The sequence below is a fragment of the Homo sapiens genome, chromosome 3, assembly GCF_000001405.40.
Source record: "Homo sapiens chromosome 3, GRCh38.p14 Primary Assembly".
Taxonomy (NCBI): Eukaryota; Metazoa; Chordata; class Mammalia; order Primates; family Hominidae; genus Homo; species Homo sapiens.
Window position 1 is genome coordinate 11,233,166 of NC_000003.12, and position 23,016 is coordinate 11,256,181.

Genomic DNA, 23,016 nt, shown 5'->3' on the forward strand with positions numbered 1-23,016 from the left:
CATTATTTCTCAAAGCACATTATCATTGCCACCCTCTTTCTCATCTCCTTCTGGGACTATGATTATATGAATGTTAGATCTTTTGTTATAGTCCCACAGGACCCTGGAGTTCTGTTTGTTTGTTTGTTTATTATCTCTTTTCTCTCTGATGTTCAGATTTGGGAATTTCTATTGTTTTATCTTCCAGTTCACTGATTCTTTCCTCTGTTCCTACCCTCTTGCTTTTGAGTCCATCAATTGGGTTCTTTTTTGTTGTTGTTGTTGTTTTTCAGGTAGAAATCATGTTTCCTTTTAATTGAATACTTAGTTCACGTTTCCTCTCTTGCTGCTACTCTGGTAATAATTAGGTCCCCACCTCTCAAGAACATTGCACCTGACCAGACTGAGAGCCTGTGTGAACATGGGCCCCAAACCAGGGCTTTCAGAATAACAAGGAACAGCCAAGCCAGCCTCTCCCTTCACTTAGAAAGGAACTGTGAATGGGAGGGTCCAAATCTTCATCGTCCAAACACAGAAAACCAGGAGCTCAATGCCAACATGGAAACCAAAATGTATCGGGAATGAAGTACAGTACCCCTTCACATACTCGAGGTCAGGATGGGTTTGCAGAAATCGTATCTGACCATCTGGCCTCTGCTAGTAGAGGCCCCACCCCAGCATTTTTAGGAGAAGATGTTTTTGTTTCTATTACTTGTATTATTTCCCCAAGGGGCATAATATCTACTAAAAGGAATATAATGAATCAGAATAAATCAGCTCACTCACAAGAAACCTTCCTGGGTAATGGTTTTTAGTTGCTGAGCTTATTCAGCACATGATTTAAAAGTGGCAAAATTCAGGGCAATCTGAGAAGAGAATTCAAAAGTGGCGGCCACAGGTTTGGGTAGGACACACATACATACAACTCCCATTTTTTTTCAGTGTATGTGTCAAGAGGTCAAGACCCCTGATCATCAAAATAAGTTATTTTGTATATTACAGTGCACAGGACAACAGAGGGAAAGACACTTTCTTGGAAGGTGACAACAAGGTCTTTTGCAAAAGGTCCACTCCAAAAGGACTGGAGCCCAGTGCCTTGTGGCCTTCATTAACTTGACCCCACCTCTTCTTTGGTTGCAGTGGCCTCAGTGGGAGCTGTTTCTTCTGCTTGTTCTGCTGGCTTCTTCTCTCTTTCCTCTTCCTCATCCTCATCCTCTTGGGGATAGAGGTCTGGGTATTTCTGCAGGCATTCCTGCATGGCCCGGAACCGGTCTACACAGTCTGACCCCTTGATCTCCTCCGTGCTATAGTGGAAGCAGGAAAAGGCTGACTTGAACTGTTCCCCACAGGGGCCGCTGGCCATTCCCCCAAGGCATGGACGGTTCCAGTTAATGTCTTCATTGGTAGTATCAATCCATGCTCCTCGTATGGATCGTTGGGGTCATCAGCCACCAATTCTGCATTGCTTGGAGTTTCATGGTCTTCTTTGGTTATAAATATGATTCGATCCTTCCCTTCCTGCCGGCAGTAGGACATGGCTGCAGCCCTGCCCTGAGACCTTGCAGAAGTGGCGGTGGCAGCAGCTGTAGCTTCACGCCATGACCTCCCTCTCCTCAGGCAGGGCGGGCACCTCTGGGTTCTTATTTCAATTATTATTTCCATTCTAAATTTCCATTGCTGCTTCTTTATATTTTCTGTTTCTTTGCTGAGACTTATTTTTTTCATGTGTCTCAATTGTGTTCACATTTGCATGTTGAAGCATTTTTATGATGATTACTTTAAATGTTTTGGCCGGGTACGGTGGCTCACGCCTGTAATCCCAGCACTTTGGGAGGCTGAGGTGGGCGGATCACGAGGTCAGGAGATCGAGACCATCCTGGCTAACACAGTGAAACCCCATCTCTACTAAAAATGCAAAAAATTAGCTGGGCGTGGTGGCATGTGTCTGTAGTCCCAGCTACATGGGAGGCTGAGGCAGGAGAATAGCTTGAACCCAGGAGGCAGAGATTGCAGTGAGCCGAGATCACACCACTGCACTCCAGCCTGGGTGACAGAGTGAGACTCCATCTCAAAAAAAAAAAAATGCTATTAGAAATCCCTTCTCATTTTTTGATGTGAAAAATGATTTTCAATTGAAATATGGAAATTTTAGGTATTATAAGACCTAGGATCATATTTAAATCTCCTGATTTATCTGCTTTTGACTGACACTGCTGTAGCAGAGGAAGCCGGAGGACACACGGGGAGAGTATGCTGCCTCATTACTTCCAGGTGGAGGTAGACGTCCTGGCTCCCCACTTCGCTTCTCTTGACACTTGAAGGGCGTGGCTTCCTCACTGTTGCTGAGCAGATGTGGGAGCTCCATCTCCCCACTAGGCCTCTGCAGATAAGTCCCCAGCTGGGAGGGATGAGAGTGCCTCCTCACTGCTCCCCATGCACCCCTACTGACACCATGGGGGTGGGTGCAGGGCTTGTCACCACCTGACAGGATGCAAGTCCCGGCTCCCTGCTAGGAATGGCGGGGACGCCACCCCAGCAAGGGGAGTTGAGTCACTTCATTACAGCTTGACAAGGGTGGAAGTCTTGGCTGCCCTCCCCACTTCACCTCATCTGGCTAGGACAGGAGCGGGGCACAGTGTTTTTCTATGGTGTTTGGCTGAAATAGAGCAGGTGTTGTCTAAAAGTTTTCTACTTTGCTAGGCAGCCTCTTTCCCAGTCCTTTGGCTGGACACAGCAGGCTTTTGTTTTGCCTGTGCCGATTGCCATTTCTGAGCTGCCAGCTACTTCAGGTCAAAATCTCTGATGTATGTGGCCAAAAAAAAGCCCAGGGAATTCATCACTGTGTCGCTCATTGGGCCCCAATGTTCCTCACTGCTTTGCCTTTGCCTCTCCACCTGTCAGAGTCTTCTTGTGTTTGCTTTAAATATAACATCCAGAGTTTTAGTTGTACTAAGCAGAATAGAGAAAGTACCTCTACTCAATCTTCCTGAAAGAAGACATCTCAATATGTTTTAAAAGCTTTTGACACAGTGGCTCACGCCTGTAATCTCAGCACTTTGGGAGACTGAGGCAAGTGGATCGTTTGAGACCAGCCTGGCCAACATGGTGAAACACTGTCTACTAAATACGTAAAAATTAGCCAGATGTGGTGGCAGGTGCCTGTAATCCCAGCAACCTGGGAGGCTGAGGCAGGAGAATCACTTGAACCAAGGAGGCGGAGGTTGCGGTGAGCTGAGATCGTGCCATTGCACTCCAGTCTGGGAGACAGAGCGAGACTCCGTCTCAAAACAAAACAAAACAAAACAAAGCTCTCAGGCAGGCAGAGTTGAGAATTACTGGTATAGGCTGGCACCTCCATGAGAATAGGAACTGTGTTCATCCGGTGGCTATCATAATATCTGTACCTGGCAAGAATATTCATCAGTGAAGATTTTGTGGATGGTTTGATGGAAGGAAGGGAGAATGAATGGATAGATAGATGAATGAATAAATGAATCATCTGTGATTATCAGAATAGAACTAGGAACCAGATCGAGTCACACTCATCTATGCCCCTATATATAAATAACTTCTATATATAAATATATAAATAACCCCTGTATATAAATACCCTGGCCCCAGAACCAGCAAGAGGGCTTGACCAGCAGGTGGTGCTAAAGAGCCCCAGGTGTGGGATGAGGTGGCAGCTGCAGGCAGGTGTCCATCAGGTCACTTGACTGAAAGAGACAAAAGTTACAGGAACTGGTAATCACCTGGGAGCTCTCTCTTATAAATGCCGCATCTGCCTCTCTTTTTCTCCTGCCAGCTCTTTTATTTAGTTCAATATCATCAATCACTTTTTTTTTCCTCAAGAAGAGAACAGCCTGAATGACTTTGGTCTTTGAAAGTGTATTTCTCAGAGTTTAATCTCCAAGGATTCGGAACAAAATGAACACATTATTCATCCTATCCTGAAATGATACTTGTGTGTGTGCTGGGTGTGGTGGTGTAATCACTGTGTCCTTGTCTCATGTTAGCACGGATATCCATATTTTCGAATTCCTTGGAATCTTTATTTAAAGCGTTTGTTTATTTTCCTCTTTTCACAGTGAAAAAGAGGATGATGTATTCACTGTATCCTTTTCTCACGTTAGCACGGATGTCCATGTTTTCAATTCCCTGGAATCTTTATTTAAAGTGTTTATTTATTTCCCTCTCTTCACAATGGAAAAGAGGATGGAGTGGGGGGAGTATGTGAAGTTCACTGGAAGGTCTTAGCAGATGGGTGCCACCTGGGCCTTTAAGTGAAACTTGCTCTTCAGTCACTCTGGGATCTCTTAGTGCAGGCACCAAGCCCTAAAAACTCCAGAAGCCTCTCTTTCCACATCATTAAAATGGGAGGCTGGGGGCAGAATTATTTTGGTGAGGTTACCAGCACGGTAAACGATTAAGGATTAAACGATTGAGGATTAAACGATGCAATATGGAAACTCTCCCAGCCTGATGCAATCCTGAAAATATTTCTTTTCTTTTTCTTTTCCTTTTTTTTTTTTTTTTTTTTTTTTTTTTTGAGATGGAGTCTTGCTCTGTCAACCAGGCTGGAGTGCAGTGGCGTGATCTCAGCTCACTGCAACCTCTACCTCCCAGGTTCAAGCAATTCTCCTGCCTCAGCCTCCCGAGTAGCTGGGATTACAAGCATGCGCCACCACGCCCTGCTAATTTTTTTGTATTTTTAGTAGAGACGGAGTTTCACCATATTGGCCAGGGTGGTCTCGAACTCCTGACCTTGTGATCTGCCCACCTCAGCCTCCCAAAGTGCTGGGATTGTAGGCGTGAGCCACTGCGCCCAGCCTCTCCCTTGCTTTTTGAGGTCAGAAAGTAAGAGATAACTGAGCTGGGCTTTTAATGCTGCCTTTGTTTGTTTGTTTGTTTGTTTGTTTGTTTTGCCATTTAGTGATAATATCCTTCAGTTTCCCTTTCCTGCACTTAGCTTTAAAAATCCCAGCCTGTCACACCAGGGCTGGGGGTTGTGGGGAGCAGACAAACAATCAAACAAGTTCAATCTCTTAAACCAAATTATAAAATGAGAAAGATCACAGATGTGCGGGAGGAAAGGGTTTGATGTAGCTCAGTCATTCCTCTCCTTCCACTTCTGATGACTAATTTAGAAGTTACGCATAACATCTCACTGCCCCTTTCACAAGAAATCATGATATCTATTTTATCTAAATCTTGGTTCTGGCTAAAGCAGTTCTTCCGCTAAGCAACTAGTTTGTTTTCATTTAAATGAAACTGAAGAATCTTATAGCTGATCCTGTTTCCCAGCACTGGTGTAGTGAAATAGATTTTAAAAACAGACAGATCTGGAACCCAGAGCAGCCTCTTTCTTCATCCACTGAAAAATTTTAAAAACAACTTGATTGAGGTGTAATTTACCTATCATAAAATTCACCCATTCTAAGTGAATCATACAATTCAGTTATCGTTAGTAAATGTACAGAGTTGTATAAACATCATCAGAATCCAAGTTTAGAACATTTCTGTTTTTTCCAAAAGATCCCTTCCTGTCCCCCCCTCCACTACCAGGCAACCACTAATCTATTCTCTGTCTCTATAAATTTGCCAATTCTGGACGTTTCATATAAATGGAATCATTCAATGTGTTGCCTTTTGTGTCTGGCTTCATTCACCTAGCATGATGTTTTTCCAGTTCACCCATGGTGTAGCTTGGAACAGTACTGTGTTTCTTTTTATTGACAAATGGACCACATTTTAATCAAAATCCATTCACCAGTTGATGAACATTTGGTTTTTTTCCACTTTTTGGTGGTTATGAATAATGCTATGAGTATCTGCATACAAGTTTTTCTGTGGTCACACGATTAGTTCTCTTGGGTATATATCTAGGTGTGGAATCACTGAGTCATATGGTAACTATGTTTAACCATTTGAAGAACTATCAGATTGCTTTTCACAGTAGCTGCACCATTTGACATTTCCACCAGCAGTGTTTCAGAGTTCTTCTTTCTCCACATCTTCACCAACACTTGTTATTGTCCTTCTTTTTAAATTATAGTCATCCTAGTCCATGTGAAGTGGTATCTCACTGTGGTTTTGATTTTCATTTCCCTAATGACTAATGATGTTGAACATCCTTTCATGTGCTTTTGAGCCATTCCTCTATCTTATTTGGTGAAATGTCTATATAAATCCTTTGCCTATTTATAAATTGGGTTATTTATCTTCTTATGATTGAGTTGGAAGTGTTCTTTGTGTATTTTGGATACATCAGATATATGATATATCAGATATATGACCTATAAATATTTTCTTCCATTCCATAGCTTTTCATTTTCTTAGTGGTACCTCTTGAAACCCAAAAGTTTCTCATCTTGATGAAGTCCAATTTAGCAGTTTTTAAAAATTCCTTATGCCTTTGGTGCTGTGTCTCAGAAATCTTTGCCTAACTCAAGGTCACAAAAATTTAGCTCATACATTTAGGACTATCATCAATTATGAGTAATTTTTGTGTATGATATAAGGGAAAGGTCTAAATTCATCCTTCTGCTGGTAGATCTCGGTTGTTCCAGCATATGAATTATTGCATTTTGTCTGCTGCCTTCTTCTATCCCCTCCTCTATTTTAGCATTCCCAGAGGTGAGCAACACTCCTCCTCTTGCCCCCAGTGGCAGCCCCCCACCCCCACTTAACCCCACTTATAAAATCTGGAGATTTTGCATGAAATCTTTTAGTTTTTAAATGATGTCAATTATTCAATTGTTTCATTTGTCTTCTTGATACATCAGATATATGATATATCAGATATGTGAGACCAACAGACTGTCTTGATGGCACAACTCCAATTCCAGTGTTCCAGAAGAGAGAACTGGGCTGACTGGTTTGTTCTGGGTCAGAGATAACTTCTGGTTCAATCACGTGTGCCCAGGGGTCAGGGTTACATAGTATAACTGTGGCTGCCAGAGCCCACCCTAGGTGAAATGATGGTTCTCAGAGAGGAGGCTTGACTTGAGCTGGGAAAATACCCCAAAAGGTGTCCACTCCTGGGTCATTATCTCATATTCAGCATTCTGCATCCCCTATGAACCAGCTTGAGGTTTCTACCTGGGGGCTTACAAAATTTATTTTGTTTACCCTGTGTAGTGTTCAAGAAGACAAATGAAACAATTGAATAATTGACAGCATTTAAAAACTAAAATATTTCATGTAAAAACTCCAGATTTTGTGTTTCCTTTTAAAAACAGGCAGATCTGAGTCTGCAGCAGTTGGTAGAATGTGAGTGGCAGCTGCCCTCTTCAAGCAGAGGACAGGCTCTCCAGGTTGCCCCGATCCCTACCACTCCCTCTTGCTCCACACACAGTCCTCTGTTCTTAGTAGCTTTTCTTCTCTGACTCTGTAGCCTCTTTGCACATGTACCTCCACCCCTGGAAAACCCACTGGGGCCACTACCTGCCCGCAAGGTCATCTGCCTCTTGCATCTTACCCAGAGGCTGACTCTTAAGCCAGAACTCCTCCAGATTCTAAGTCAGTTAGGTTCCTGTAATACTAGGCCCATAATGGCATTTTGCTATTTGCAGTCTGCTCTGTTCATCACAACCAGTGGCACTGATAAGCCTGGGTGTTTCATGGAAATTATGACCTGGCCAGACTTAATGAGATTATGCAGTACTGGAGCACCCTCATGCATGACACCTCTTTCTCAGAATTAGATCAAAGAAATTAATGTTCTGACTTACTTGACTAGAATAACCAGCCTACAAATGATGAAGAGGATAGAGAAGTTTGGACTGGGGAGTAGCAGGTGAGGCAGTTTAGAATGAATCAAGAAAGGAATCCCAAACTCTCACTTTGTACTAGAGAAAATAAAAGATGTGCTAAGCATGTGGAAAACATTTCTTTATTTTTATTTTTTTATTGAAGGAATCTATATTTTGTTTTTTTCAAAATGAATGCAGTTAGCTCTTATTTTCCCTATTATAAAATAAAGACAATCTCATTGTTGAAATCCTGAGAAATACCAAATATAATAAGTATCATCCAGTACCCAGAGAAAACCATGGTTGATGTAACATAACAAAGATTCACCCTGGATAGAAGCCTGTTAGTTAACAGAATTGACATTGTCCTGTACAAACAAACCACGTACGTCTTCTATAAATTTCATCATAAGCATTTTACCACCTAATTGCTGGTGCTCTGTAATGATTATCAAGGACCCCATGATATTCTATTCTGTAGCCACTGAGAGTTGAAGCCAGCTGGACTCCCTGGGTGGAGTGGGAACTTGGAGAACTTTTCTGTCTTACAAGAGGATTGTAAAACGCACCAATCAGCACTCGGTAGCTAGGAGTGTAAAACGCACCAATCAGCACTCTGTAGCTAGCAATGGGATTATAAAATGCACCACTCAGGCTGGGCACGGTGGCTCACGCCTGTAATCCCAGCACTTTGGCAGGCCGAGGCGGGTGGATCACGAGGTCAGGAGATCGAAACCATCCTGGCTAACACAGTGAAACCTTGTCTCTACTGAAAATACAAAAAAAAATTAGCTGGGTGTGGTAGCGGGCGCCTGTGGTCCCAGCTACTCCGGAGGCTGAGCCAGGAGAATGGCGCAAACCTGGGAGGTGGAGCTTGCAGTGAGCCGAGATGGCGCCACTGCATTCCAGCCTGGGGGACAGAGCGAGACTCCGTTTCAAAAAAAAAAAAAAATGCACCAATCAGTGCTCTCTAAAACATAAAACACACCAATCAGCGCTCTGTAAAACGCACCAATCAGCACTCTGCAAAATGTACCAGTGGGCGCTCTCTAAAATGCACCAGTCAGCAGGAGTCTAAAAGTAGCCAATAGTGGGGACGACTGAAAAAAGGGCACTCTGATAGGACAAAAACGGAACATGGGAGGGGACAAATACGGGAATAAAAGCTAGTCACCCCAGCCAGCAGAGGCAATCCGCTTGGGTCACCTTCTAGGCTGTAGAAGGTTTCTTCTTTTGCTCTTCACAGTAAATGTTGCTGCTCACTCTTTGGGTCCTTGCCATCTTTAAGAGCTCTAACACTTGGCCGGGTGCGGTGGCTCATGCCTGTAATCCCAGCACTTTGGGAGGCCAAGGCAGGCGGATCAGGAGGTCAGGAGATCAAGACCATCCTGGCTAACATGGTGAAACCCCGTCTCTACTAAAAATTCAAAAAATTAGCCGGCCATGGTGGCGGGTGCCTGTACTCCCAGATATTCGGGGAGGCTGTGTCAGGAGAATGGTGTGAACCTGGAAGGCAGAGCTTGCAGTAGCCAAGATCATGCCACTGCACTCCAGCCTGGGCAACAGAGCCAGACTCCGTCTCAAAAAAAAAAAAAAAAAAAAAAAAAAAAAGCTGTAACACTCACTGCAAAGGTCTGCGTCGCCATTCTTGAAGTCAGCGACACCAGGAACCTGCCGGAAGGAACCAACTCCGGACACACTACCTCAAGATACATTTAGTTCCCAAATGCCAGCTCATTTCTCTTTATTTTCTATCATAAATAATGTTGCAGTGAGCGTCTTTGTGCATAAATCTTTATTTACATTTTAGATTACCATGAGATAAATTTTTAACTATAAAGTGTTCAGGGAAAAGTAGAAAAGTGGACCAAAAGGTATGGTACAATATTCGTCAATGGGATAAATCCTACCTCAAACTTCTTTAAGTCTGAACTTCTTTTGAAAATTATGCTTACACTTTCTGCACTTAGTACATCTCCCCTGGCTTCTGCTGTTCTGTATTGGTTTGGGTCTCTCTTTTTTTTTTCCTTTTTTTAGATGGAGTCTTGCTCTGTCACCAGGCTGGAGTGCAGTGGCATGATCTTGGCTCACTGCAACCTCTGCCTCCTGGGTTCAAGTGATTCTCCTGCCTCACCCTCCCCAGTAGCTGGGACTACAGGTGCCTGCCACCACGCCTGGCTAATTTTTGTATTTTTAGTGGAGACGGGGTTTCGCAATGCTGGCCAGGCTGGTCTCAAACTGCTGACCTCAGGCAATCCACCTGCTTTGGCCTCCCAAAGTGCTGGGATTACAGGTGTGAGCCCCTGCGCCCGACCCTGGGTCTTGTTTTTTCAGGGCTCATCCAGTAAACCTCTGTTGAGCACCTATCATGTGCCAGCCTGGTGCCAGGCTCAGGAGAAATGATGGCAAGCGAAAATGCAGGGTCCCTGCTGTCAGCGAATGGGATGTCCCCATGGTGTTGCACTTCAGAGACAGAAATAGTGGACATCCTCCATGCCCTGGAGTTGCTCCCCATTTAGTTGGAGGAGAATCAGCTAAAGAATGATAATCCCACAAGAAAGTTGATAAAAGAGGAGCATGTTAGAAGTTGAGGATACCAAGAGAAAGGAACAAGTAAGAGTTTCAAGGCAAAAGAATGTTCCAGGCAGGGAAATGGCATCAACGTGTAAAGAAGCTTACTTACACCTTGGCCCCAGCGTGTGCTTCCAGACTCATCGTTCTGTGCTCTAGGCACTTCCAATGACTCCTCCCAATTCCTCAAACTCAGCTGTGTACTTTGAGTCTTTCTTCTACTGAGCCTTAAATACCTCTTTCTTCCTGCTGGAGAAATTCCACCCATCCTTCAAAGCCTGGCTTGCATATCACTTCTTCTCTGATGTCCTTTCTGACGTCCGCATTTTGCCTTGAGAGAGGCAGTTCTTCCCTCTGCTGTCCAGCTACCTGCCTTGATCTTATACCAGTCACCACGTTTGTCCCAGCTGAATTCTAGGGTTTTTAATTTAATTGTTTTGATGCTGTTTATCTTGTGTATTTCTTCGCATGCTAATTTATCAACTCTTTGAAGTCAGGGACAGTGTATCAATTAGGATTCGAGTTGGCTGTATGTGATAGAAAACACTAGCTAACAATGGCTTCCATGAAATAGACGTGAGGTCCAGAGGTGGGCAGTCCTCGCTGATATGGCAGCCCCATGATCATCAGGGACCTCAAGTCTGTCCCGATGGCTGCTTCACTTTCCTAATTGTGTGGCTTTTCCTTATGGTCCCAAGATGGCTGCTTAAGCACTACTCATCATATCCACAATCCAGCCAGCTAGAAGAATGAAAGGCCAAAGAAAAGTACACACCTTTATTTTAAGGCTGTTTTCTGGAAGTTGCAAACAACACTTGCATTTACATTCCATTGGAATTTAGTCACATGGTCACACCCAGCTACAAAGGAGTCTGGGAAATGTAGTTTCTATTCCAGGCAGCTGTATACTCAGCTGAGAAGCAGAGTTCTAGTCTTAGACATGAGAGGAGACTATTAGCAGCTTCCACCACAGTGAAAAACAAGGAAAGGTCAAGGATGAGTCCTCTGATCCTGAATGGGCCAGGTACAGGATGGTGGTGCTCACCAAGAAATGGAAGAAAACACAACCACTGCTATTAATTGAGCACCTCATGTATGCCAGACACTGTACTAGGTGCTTTATCTAAAACCAACGTTGCTGAGCTTTATTTAGGTAAATAATTGCATTGCCCTTGAGGAAGTTTGGAGTATTTCTAATTTGGAATCAGATCCAGGTTGCCTCTTCTTTCATGCTTCCCATGTTGGGGAGCTTACTGTCTTTCTCAAGGTAACTTGTTGCATTGTTGGATAACATCTTTTTTAGAAAGTTCTGCCTTACTTCGAGCTGAAAGCTGCACTCTTGGGTGGGAATGGAGTGTAGTAGTTCAGGGTGCATGTTCTTCAGTTGGATCAGTGGTTCTATCCCCCAGGGGATACCTGGCAGTGTCTGGTAACATTTTGGGTTGTCATGACTGGGGGCTTGCAGCTACTGGCATCAAGTGAGTGGAGGCTAGGGATAATGGTAAATGTCATCACCCAGTACACACGACAGCTCCCCACAATGAAGAGTCATGCAGCCCAAATGTCAATGGTAGGACCAAGGTTAAGAAACCCTGAGTTAGGGCCAGGTGTGGTGGCTAATGCCTGTAATCCCAGCACTTTGGGAGACCGAGGCAGGCAGATCACTTGAGGCCTGGAGTTTCAGACCACCCTGGCCAACATAGCAAAACCCCGTCTCTACTAAAAATACAAAAATTAGCCGGGTATGGTGCTGCACACCTGTAGTCCCAGGCACTCAGGAGGCCGAGGCAGGGGAATCACTTGAACCCGGGAGGCAGAGGTTGCAGGGAGCTGAGATCATGCCACTGCACTCCAGCCTAGGTGACTGAACGAGACTTCATCTAAAAAAAAAAAATAGAGAAACCCTGAGTTAGATAGACCTACGTTCAAATCTTAACTTAGCAACCACTTCCCAGCTGCGTGACCTTGAGTAAGATGCTTCACCTCCTGAGCTTGAGCTGACCATTTCCTCCTCTCCGCCCAGATATGCCTCTTGGGCTTGCGGGCATTTAGTAACTGATGTGTGAGAAGCTTGGCTCCTTACTGTTTCAGCTGCCCCCATTGGTGTCGCAGGATGTGCAAGGAGCGCTGACTGGGTTGTTTGCTGGCACATGGGCCTGATGGGATTAGACTGTAATCACTCTAGTAAAAGCCCCTCCCCACCTAATGGTTTCAGAATGGAGTCATTGCCTTAATTCAAAAATGATGGTTTGCTTGTGCACTCTTAGAGAAGATGGGTCCATTTCTGCTTTTTACCAAGTAATCGCAGAGCTTTCCCACTTCCCTGTCTCAATTGATCCTCCCAATGGCCCAGGCAGGAGGGCTTACTAGTCTCCCTACTTTAAAGGTGAGTAAACTGGCACCCCGAACTGTTTACTCAAGGTGCACATGCTCTCACACACACACTCTTAGACACTCACACATACACACTCACACTCACTCATACATACTCATACACACACACTCATGTACTCAAAAACCACACACACACTTACACATACACACATACACTCACACTCATACACACACTCACACATTCACACACATACACACAGACTCTCACACACAATCACACACATTCACACTCACACACACAAACACACATGCACATACACATTCACTCACACATTCACACACACTCATACAGCCCAGCAAGCAGCGGAGCAAGGGTGAGGACTCAGCTCCTGCCTCTAGAGCTCTCCCTAGGCTGCTACTCTGAGGACACAGAGCTAGGGAGAACCTACAGGTGACTGCCTTCCTTGCAGACAAGCCCTCATCTCACATGGCTCCTTTAGCTTTTATTCTCTCTGCCCAGAGCACACCCTCTGTCCAGCACTGTTTCCATAGGCATGGCTTTATCCTCAGAGAGGGCACCTCAGACCCAGCGGGATCTCCTGAGTGGCGTGTAGTGACATGGGATCCATGTCCCCAAATATCTCCCACACTCTTGGCCATAGTATCTGACTTTTCTTTGGAATTTATGCAAGGAAAACCTCAGGGACCAGATTTTTCAAAATACAGGTCCCGAAGGGAGGGAAAAGCACCTTACATTAGTCATCTCACTGACGAGAACTATCCATTCAAGCTATTTTTTTATTCATTTCACAGTACATTGCAGACATTGTTAGATTTCACCCCTAAATGTTTAAAATGCTACAGTAATTTTTAGTTCAGTGATGACAATTCAATCATAACTTTTCTTTCTTTAAACAAAAAGGAAAAATACAGATTTTTTTAAATAAAAACAAATCATGGCTGGGCACGGTGACTCACCCACCTGTAATCCCAGCACTTTGGGAGGCTTAGGAGGGCAGATGGCTTGAGCCCAGGAGTTTGAGACCAGTCTGGGCAATACAGTGAGACCCTCTCTCTACAGAAAATACAAAAAATTACCCAGGCATGGTGGTGCGTGCCTGTGGTCCCTCCCAGCTACTCAGGAGGCTGAGGTGGGAGGATTGCTTGAATCATTTTCTGTCAAATATAATTGTTAGATGATAAATAGTATATACATAATTTTTAAAAAATGTTTTCTCTGATGGGCACAGTGGCTCATGCCTATAATCCTAGTACTTTGGGAGGCTGAGGCAGGTGGATCACTGAGGTCAGGAGTTCGAGACCAGCCTAACCAATATGGTGAAACACCATCTCTACTAAAAATACAAAATTGGCCAGGTGTGGTGGTGCATGCCTGTAATCCCAGCTACTTGGGAGGCCGAGGCAGGAGAATTGCTTGAACCCAGGAGACAGAGTGTTAGAAACAAGTGCCTGGTGCCGCAAAGAAAAACAGCACGTAGGCAGAAAATTCCTCAGCAAGGCAAATTTCCTTCTGCAGGAGGATGCAGCTTGCACCAGTCACGATCGCAAGAGCACACTGAGCAGGGTAGGGCAGGGGTTTTTATCCCTAATGCAGTTCCTAGCACTTCTGTGTCCTTTCCTCATTGGCTAAGGTTGGCCCTCCCAATCTAAGCTAATTCGATTGGCTAAGGTTTAAAATTGAATAGGGTCTATTAGGCGGGAAGGAAGAGGGACTGTCCCTTACTAGGTGGGAAGGCATATCTGGATTTGTCTGGACGTGGCAAAGGCGGGAAGGTTGTTTACCGAACAGGTAGCTAGGAGACAAGGAAGTATAAGGAAGTTGGTCTAAGAAACAAAGAACAGGGAACTAAAGCTTTTCGAAGAAGAATTTATCATCTCTGACAATTTCCCCCTCTTGATTTTATAGTTTTTCCTCTTCAAAATGCCTTAGCATATCTAGGCTCTGTTGTTGTTCTTGGGTGTCAAGAAGGAAGAGTTTATCTGAATAAGGTGGGGGGGAACTAAGGGAGGTTTTGGTGAGCGCTGTTTCTATAAGTCTTTGCACTAAACCGCAAATACAGGGTATGATACAGCATCCTACAAGAATGAGCACACCTATAACGATTATAAGGGAGGTGAATATTGAGGTCATAATTCCTTTCCATTTCCCGAACCATTTCTCCATGAGGGTTGTAAAGGGGTCATCTATTCTAGAATTTTTAGCTAACTCATTTATTTGATAAGGAGGTAAGGCCTTGTAAGGCTTTTGTTATTGTTCCATCGGGGGCGGTGTTATTAGGAATAAAAGTACAACATTGGACTCCAATCGTGACACAAACTCCGCCTTTTTCAGCTAATATCACGTCAAGGGCTATTCTGTTTTTCCCAGGCTATTTGGCTGGTAAGGCCTAATTGTTCAACTGTTCCTTTAATTGCATCTCTAGTAAAATTAACAAAGTGTTGTTGATTATAATAGATATAATTTATTCAAGCTACATTCTTGTTTACAGTTGACCACCAGAACAATATAAATTTGAAGCCTGCAGCTGTTTGATTTTGGGCTTTGAATTCATCTGGTACCCCTCATGGTACTCCGATAGCATCTATATAAACATGAGGATCAAAGGATCCAGGAGGGACGTGTCTCTTTTTACAATATTCTGTCTTCAGCTTTCTTGGTCGATGAAATGCCAAGGTGAGAGGGATAGCCAACTGAATTACAGCACAAGTGCTGCTCCAGGTACTTGGCAGAGTACCCAGCGATAGTCCCCCACAATATCACCACACATCTGCTCCGGAATGAACAAGGGCATACTGATTGGTAAGCTCTTGAAAAGGCTTGGTTTCACTGCACCCTGTTAGGTCTCCAAGGAATGCTAACTTCTCCCCCTGCCATGAAAGGCAAGAGGTGAAGTTAACATCAGGGGCTGCAGGCTGGATGGCCCTCAAGGGCTGACCCGCAGGGCTTTTGACTTCAGGGAACAGCAGTGGAAGAATCTTGCATGACTCATTACACCAGGCTGTGGGGTTCTGGAAGAGAGCTATCACACAGCTCATGCCTCGTTGGTCAGATGACCATCCAAGTGGGAAGGGGACAATTTGGGTTTCTGGCCTACCTGTCGCACAAGCCTAACAGTCGCTTTTATTTAGCTTGCGGATGGAATATTTAATCCCTTCCAACCAGGCATTTGGATCTTGATATCCTGTTTCAATAGCTAGAGTTTGCTTTAAATCTTTAACTTCTATAATGGTAACTTTAGTTTTATCATTGGGTATGAAGTGAGAAAAGGTTTGGTTAGAAGAGGGTTTAGGGCTGGGCGCGGTGGCTCATGCCTGTAATCCCAGCACTTTGGGAGGCCAAGGCAGGTGGATCACGAGGTCAGGAGATCCAGACCATCCTGGATAACACAGTGAAACCCCGTCTCTACTAAAAATAAAAAATAAAAAAAATTAGCTGGGCATGGTGGCAGGTGCCTGTAGTCCCAGCTACTCGGGAGGCTGAAGCAGGAGAATGGCGTGAACTCGGGAGGCAGAGCTTGCAGTGAGCCGAGATCGCGCCACTGCACTCCAGCCTGGGTGACAAAGTGAGACTCTGTCTCAAAAAAAAAAAAAAAAAAAAAAGAGGATTTAGGAGGAGAGGGAGAAGGGGGTGAAGGAGGTGGAGGAGCAATGAAGCACATTGTGAAATATCCTATAGGGTCTGTCCCTGAGACTTCTGCTCCTACCATAAAAATGGCTCAAGGAAGGGTAAGAACCTTGGGAAGCTGGGATAGTAATGGAAATTTGTACAGGATTACACTGGTTATATTGGCAATTGGGAGGAGTACTCCCTTTAGTGAAACAAATGTATGGTTTCAGGAATATACAACTATTCGTTGTGGCAGTCCATCCCTGGTTTTTGGTTGTCAATAGAACATTGGACCAACTGTGGCAGAGATGCTGAGGCTCTGCTTTAGGAGGACAAGTTTCCCAATTAACGGAATCTCCGTTAAAATCTTCCCAGACTAATTGATCCCGGTTAACAGATTTCCAGTCTGAGGAGAGCCAGGAAGGACAAAGATACTTTTCTGAAGTAGAGTTGTCTTTGACCCTGCAGATCTCCACAGGGTATAACAAGACAAGCATAGAAAGTGATAGTTTGAGGTGAGTTAGACTTAGTAACATTAATAATAAGATGTGGGGTAGCTGGGGTAAAGAGGAAAAGGAGGAAGAGGCAGATTAAGCTTTTCTCTTTTTTTTTTTTTTTTTTTTTTTTTTGAGACGGAGTCTCGCTCTGCCGCCCAGGCTGGAGTGCAGTGGCGCGATCTCCGCTCACTGCAGGCTCCGACTCCCGCGTTCACGCCATTCTCCTGCCTCAGCCTCCCGAGTAGCTGGGACTATAGGCGCCGCCACCACACCCGGCTAATTTTTTTTTTTTTTTTTTTTTTTTGTATTTTTAGTGGAGACGGGGTTTCACCATATTAGCCAGGATGGTCACGATCTCCTGACCTCGTGATCCGTCCGTCTCGGCCTCCCAAAGTGCTGGGATTACAGGCGTGAGCCACCGCGCCCGGCCGCTTTTCTCTTTAACGTTACATTTTCGGGGGTAGGTACTTTGGAGAGGGGTACCCGGGTATGATGCGTCCATCCTCTCTCAACGGTCCGGACTGCTGTCTCAGTTGTGAGGAGCACTAGGTATGGTCCTTCCCAAGTGGGTTCGAGCTTTCCCTCTTTCCAACTTCTGATAAGGATGTGATCTCCAGGCTGGTGTTGATGAACTGGTAATTCAATGGGTGGAGTTTGTGCTAGGAGGCCTTGAGTCCTGAGGGAGGAAAGGGTAGAAGATAGACCTAACACATAGTTTCTAAGAAACTGATCTTTTGTTTCGAATGTGGGAAGATCAGTAGTAGAATGTAGATAAGGCAATCTAAAAAGCATCTCATAAGGGGGTAGACCTATGTTTTTTCAGGGAGCAGTTCGGACTCTCAACAGGGCAATAGGCCTTTCGACTCTCCCTGATGAGGGTGGATGCACGGCATGTGGTACTCCCATTTTCTTTAGGTTGTTTGTTGGTTTTTCTGCGCACTCTGAAACGATCTGCAACTTGTCTAGCAAGGGTATAAATTCCTACGCATCCATAAACTCTGAGGACTGCATCACACATAGCTTGGGGGCCCCAGTGAGTTCCTTGATGTAGCTGTGACAATACCTCTCGCATGAAGGGCTTAGACAGCATTTCCTTCTTGTCTGGTTGTACCCATCTTCCCTCGTGACTTTCTTTGGCTCCTATTTCTTTTAACTTTTCTTTTTCTCTGGGGGAGAAAACAGGGACTGTAGCTGGAGGGGGAAGATAAGGGGTTAGGTGGAAAATGGGTGCTGCTTGAGAAGAGGCAACATGTTTAGCCACTTGGTCAGCTAGATTATTCCCTCAGCTCTCAAAGGAAAGATTCTTCTAGTGACCTGGAACATGAACAACTGCTGTCTCTTCTGGCGGCTGTAAGTTCTCTAGTACTTGGATTATCAAGTCTCTATGGACTAAGTTTTGGCCTTTACTGTTAATAAGGCCTCGCTCTGCCCAAATTTTCCCAAAGGTGTGGACTACTCCAAAGGCATACGTGGAGTCAGTATAAATAGTTCCTTCCTGGTTTTGCAGAAATTTTAAGGCTTGATTTAGTGTAAACAACTCACATGTTTGCTCAGACCAGTCATTAGGTAGGGTGTCTCCGTCTACTGCTGAGTACCTGTTATGCCTTTTCCCTTTTATTACTTGAGAAGAACCATCTACAAAAAGGTGTCTTCCGGTTTGAAAGGGAGTTTATCTAAACATCTATGCCCAAGTTCTTCTGGTCTGGGGCATGGGTTTTTTTCTGCGTTTGAATTTCCTGTTAAGAAGGCAGCAGGGTTAAGTGAATCATCTGTAGTTCGGATTAAATCATCTTTTTCTAACAAGATAGCCTTGTATTTTAAAATTCTTGAGTCAGTAAGCAACCTTTCTGCCTTCTGATTTAGGATAGTTCTGTTCTGGTGAGGTGTGCTCACAATGGGGTTTCCTCCAAAAGTTATTTTTCTACTTTCTTCTGTTAGCAAAGTAGTTGCCGCTACAGATTGAATGCATTTGGACCATCCATGGGTTACTGGGTTAAGAATTTTTGACAGGAAGCCTACGGGTTGGGAGTGGCCTCCGTGCTTTTGGGTAAGTACTCCCAAGGCTACGCCCTTGTTTACATTGACGAAAAGATGGAATGGCTGCTTAGGGAGGGTAAAGCTAGGACAGGGGCAGTTACTAATAGATGTTTTAACCTTTCTACCTTTTGGATTTCTGGTAATTGCCAAATGATGGGGTCTGGCTCGTCTTGTGTGAGCTTTTTGTATGAGAGTTCTGTTTCTAGGGCATAAGAGTCTATCCATAGACGGCAGTATCTGACTAATCCTCCTTCAATCCATTCAAGCCCAATTTTCCATTTGCCTTTGTAATTAAATGCCCTAAATATTTTACTTCAGGTTCTACAAATTGGAGTTTGTTTTTCGAGGCCGTTAACCCTTCATCCCACAGAAAATTTAAGACATGGGTTGAGAAAGCTGCTACTTCTTTTCTATCATCTCCTGAAATTAGAAGATCATCCATGTACTGGAGGGGACATATGCACGAGGGCAGGGAAAATTTCTCTAGGACTTGTTCTAATATTTGACTAAGTAAATATGGAGACTCCGTAAACCCCCGGGGTAAGACTGTCCATCAGTATTGCTGTTTTCAACCGGAGTGAGGGTCTTTCCACTCAAAGGCAAGTAGGTCCTGGCTGCCCTCTGCTAATGGACAAGCCCAGAAGGCATCATTTAAATCTATTACTGTACTATCTGATTAATAGCTCTAAGGTCTTGCACTAACCAGTATGACCTGTCTGGCTTCTTTAAAGGCAGTATTGGAGTGTTACAGGGAGACATACAGGATTTAAGAAGCCCATCATGGAGAAGACCTTCAATTACAGGTTTTAAATTTACCCTGGCTTCTAAAGGAATAGGGTATTGCTTTCTCTTTACTACTTCCCCAGGGGTTTTAAATTTAACATGAATCAGAGAAATCTGTAACTTTCCTTGATCCCATCTTTTGACCATACCTCGGGATAAATGTGTTCTTCGTCTGCGGTGGTGAGCAAGATTAGGGAGGGGAGGGGAGGAATTTTCCGTGATTGATTTGGAGGCCTAAGCCTAATTTTAGTATTAAATCACTTCCTAATAGATTTGTCCCTGCTTCTGGAATTAACAGAAATTTGCTGCTAGCTGATCAGTTTTCATATTTCACTTTTGTCTCCTCTAAGATTTTTGCTCTAAATCCTTCTCCTTTTACTCCAGAGATAAAAAGTTTTTCTTGTGAACAAGTTACACTAGATGGAAGATAACAGACTGAGGAGTGAGCTGCTTCTGACTCGATTAAAAAGGTAATAAGCTTAGGTTTAGGTCCCACTTCTAAATTTACCAAGGGCTGTTGGTGGGACTCAAGAGACAAAGATGGAGCCCCTGACCTCCCTAGTCTTCTTCAAAAGCTGTAAGTGGGATGACTTTTTCTTCTTTTTCCCATTTGGGACATTGTCTTTCAAAATGACCTATTTTTCCACATTTGAAACATTTGTTCTGTGATTTCTTAGTAATATCTCGCCAGCTATTGGTGACAAAGTGGAGCTTTAACATTCCTTGTCCGAGGGGGTCTTCTGATTCTAGGCCAGCGTATTTTTCTCATTTGCTCTTTAAGCCTTTCTAAAAATTCTGTCGGTCCCTCATCTTTTCCCTGTTTTATATTAAAGGCCTTGGTAAGATTTTGGGTGCGGGGCACTAATTCTCAAATTCCTTTTATTACCATCTCCCTAAGGTCTCTCATATTTCCTTGATGGGCTATATTGTTGTTATCTCATTGAGGATCCTGGGCTGGGAATTATGTTCAGCCGCTGGAACGTTCTGACCGGGAGGATGTTCACGTTCCCGAATGGTCATAGCAGCCCTTTGTATCATGCTCCTTTCTTCTCCTGAGAATAAGATGTCTAAGATAGACATTAACTCGTCTAAAGTATATATCTGGGGTCCTAAAACTGATCGATCTGATCTGCCACTCCATAAGGGTCATCTAAGAGTGGTTTAAGCTCCTTTTTTAGGTTTAGGGGAAGGGTCTGTGGTGGCAGCTGCTTGGGGGAGAGGAAGGTTCTTCAGTCCAAACAAAACAGCAGTTTTTTATCATTTGCTGCTTTTTCTTGTGTTTGGTCCTTCCATTATCCTTCCAATATTCTAACGTTAGGCCTAGGGGACTATCAGAGGGTATATTATCATGATCATGATATTTCCTATCTTTTGTCTTACTTGCTGTATTTCCCATCCTGGAGAAAGAGTTTTTCCCTGAGTCCATGGGGCTCAATCTCTCTTACTAGAGATTTCTTGCACCCTAGTGAGTCTGTGGGGCTCAACCTCTCCTACTAGAGATTTTTCACACTCTTCAGCTTTTGCTTTATCCTTCTCCATATGCTTCTCTTGCGGAAATTTTCAAGTCCCTCTTAGCATAGGCAGGTTGGTATAAACCCCACAACAGGCAAGCTGCCTTTAAGCCATATGAGGTGACTACAGAACCAGATCCGGACTCTGCACTTGCTCTGCACTCAATTGTGTGTCTTACTCACACACTTTCAACCTCCAGGATGTCCTGACCACCAAGGAAATACTTCACTGCCCCCAAGGTTTTTCTTACCTTGGTCTATGCACAGAGTTACCTGGTCGCCACAGTATCTGTCTGCCTTTTCTTCCCTCATTGCTAGAGTCCAGGTTTATTCATCACACCAGGTGGGTCTCGATCCCTTACCCTTGAGGCCACCGCAACAAAGCAGCGGGCTGCGTCTCCTCACGAGAAATGATCTGAGACCCTCCCCGGAGGAGAATGGGAATCCCAGATGAACCCCCAAGTTTGTTAGAAACAAGTGCCTGGTGCCACAAAGAAAAACAGCACATAGGCAGAAAATTCCTCAGCAAGGCAAATTTACTTCTGCAGAAGGGTGCAGCTTGTGCTAGTCACAATCGCAAGAGCACACCAAGCAGGGTAGGGCAGGGGTTTTTAATCCCTAATGCAGTTCCTAGCACTTCTGTGTCCTTTCCGCATTGGCTGGGGTTGGACTTCACAATCTAAGCTAATTCGATTGGCTAAGATTTAAAATTGAATAGGGTCTATTAGGTGGGAAGGAAGAGGAACTATCCGTTACTAGGTGGGAAGGCATATCTGGACTTGTCTGGGCCTGGCGAAGGCAGGAAGGCTGTTTACAGAACAGGTAGCTAGGAGACAAGGATGTACAAGGAAGTTGGTCTTAAGAAACAAAGAACAGAGAACTAAACCTTTTTGAAGAGGAATTTATCATCTCTGACAGGAGGCTGCAGTGAGCTGAGATCACGCCATTGCACTCCAGCTTGGGCAATGAGAGTGAAACTCCGTCTCAAATTAAAATTAAAATTAAAAAATAAAAAATAACGTAAAATAAAAAATGGTTTCTCTCCCCTCTATGTGCCAGACAATGAGGAAAAGAGAAAAAGGAGACACCTCTGGAGGCCAGGGAGCTGAGAGCCACCTTGAGAATGCCAAGCTGGGGAAGTGTTTAGGGGAACTACTTCCTGCTTCCTTCCGAGCAAAACAGTAAAAAATAAAAATCCCTGAGACAATACTTCCTTAGCCTTATGAACCCCGAAAATCTGAGATAGGTCTCAGTTAATTTGGAAAGTTTATTTTGCCAAGGTTGAGGACGCACACCCATGACACAGCAACAGGAGGTCCTGACGATGTGCCCAAAGTGGTCAGAGCACAGTTTGGTTTTATACATTCTAGGGAGACATGAGACATCAATCAATATATGCAAGATGAACATTCCTTAGGTCTGGGAAAGGCAGGACAACTGGAAGCCGGGAGGAGGCTTCCAGGTCTTAGGAAGATAAGAGACAGATGGTTGCATTCTTTTGAGTTTCTGATTAGCCTCTCCAAAAGAGGCAATCAGATATGCATTTATCTCAGTGAGCAGAGGTCTGACTTCGAACAGAATGGGAGGCGGGTTTGCCCTAAGCAGTTCCCAACTTGACTTTTCCCTTTACCTTAAGTGATTTTGGGGCCCCAAGTTATTTTCCTTTCACAGCCTACTTTCTTCCTTCCAGAAGTGACTGTGGACAATTCCACAGGGTTTGGACTTGATCAGGGCAGAAGGTGAAGCTGCAAGGTATTAGATGTGGGAATGGAGAAAAATACAGGCTGGAGCTGTGGGTTTGAGTGTTGTCCTCATAGGAGGTGATGGCTGAGGGGTAGGTAAGTGAGAGGATGAGATCCCCGAGGCCGACAGCACAGAGTGACAGGAGCATAGGGCAGGACTTTGGGTCACCCAAGGAGACA

At 44.4% G+C, this 23,016-nt stretch overlaps 1 protein-coding gene and 1 pseudogene across 4 annotated transcripts in view; one reads left to right on the top strand and one right to left on the bottom strand.

The window, feature by feature from the left end:
- The window catches only part of HRH1 (histamine receptor H1), a 126,320-nt gene that overhangs the window by 95,928 nt on the left and 7,376 nt on the right, over positions 1 to 23,016 (top strand). The window contains exons 1-2 of one of the 4 annotated variants that reach the window (NM_000861.3): positions 19,534 to 19,603; positions 19,968 to 20,053. The exons of the other annotated variants lie outside the window; for them this stretch is intronic. The gene's annotated coding sequence lies outside the window, so the exon portion shown is untranslated. Of the gene's footprint in view, positions 1 to 19,533; positions 19,604 to 19,967; positions 20,054 to 23,016 lie in introns of those variants that run through there. 4 annotated transcript variants of the gene reach the window in all.
- On the bottom strand, positions 891 to 1,612 carry CHCHD4P4 (coiled-coil-helix-coiled-coil-helix domain containing 4 pseudogene 4; annotated as a pseudogene).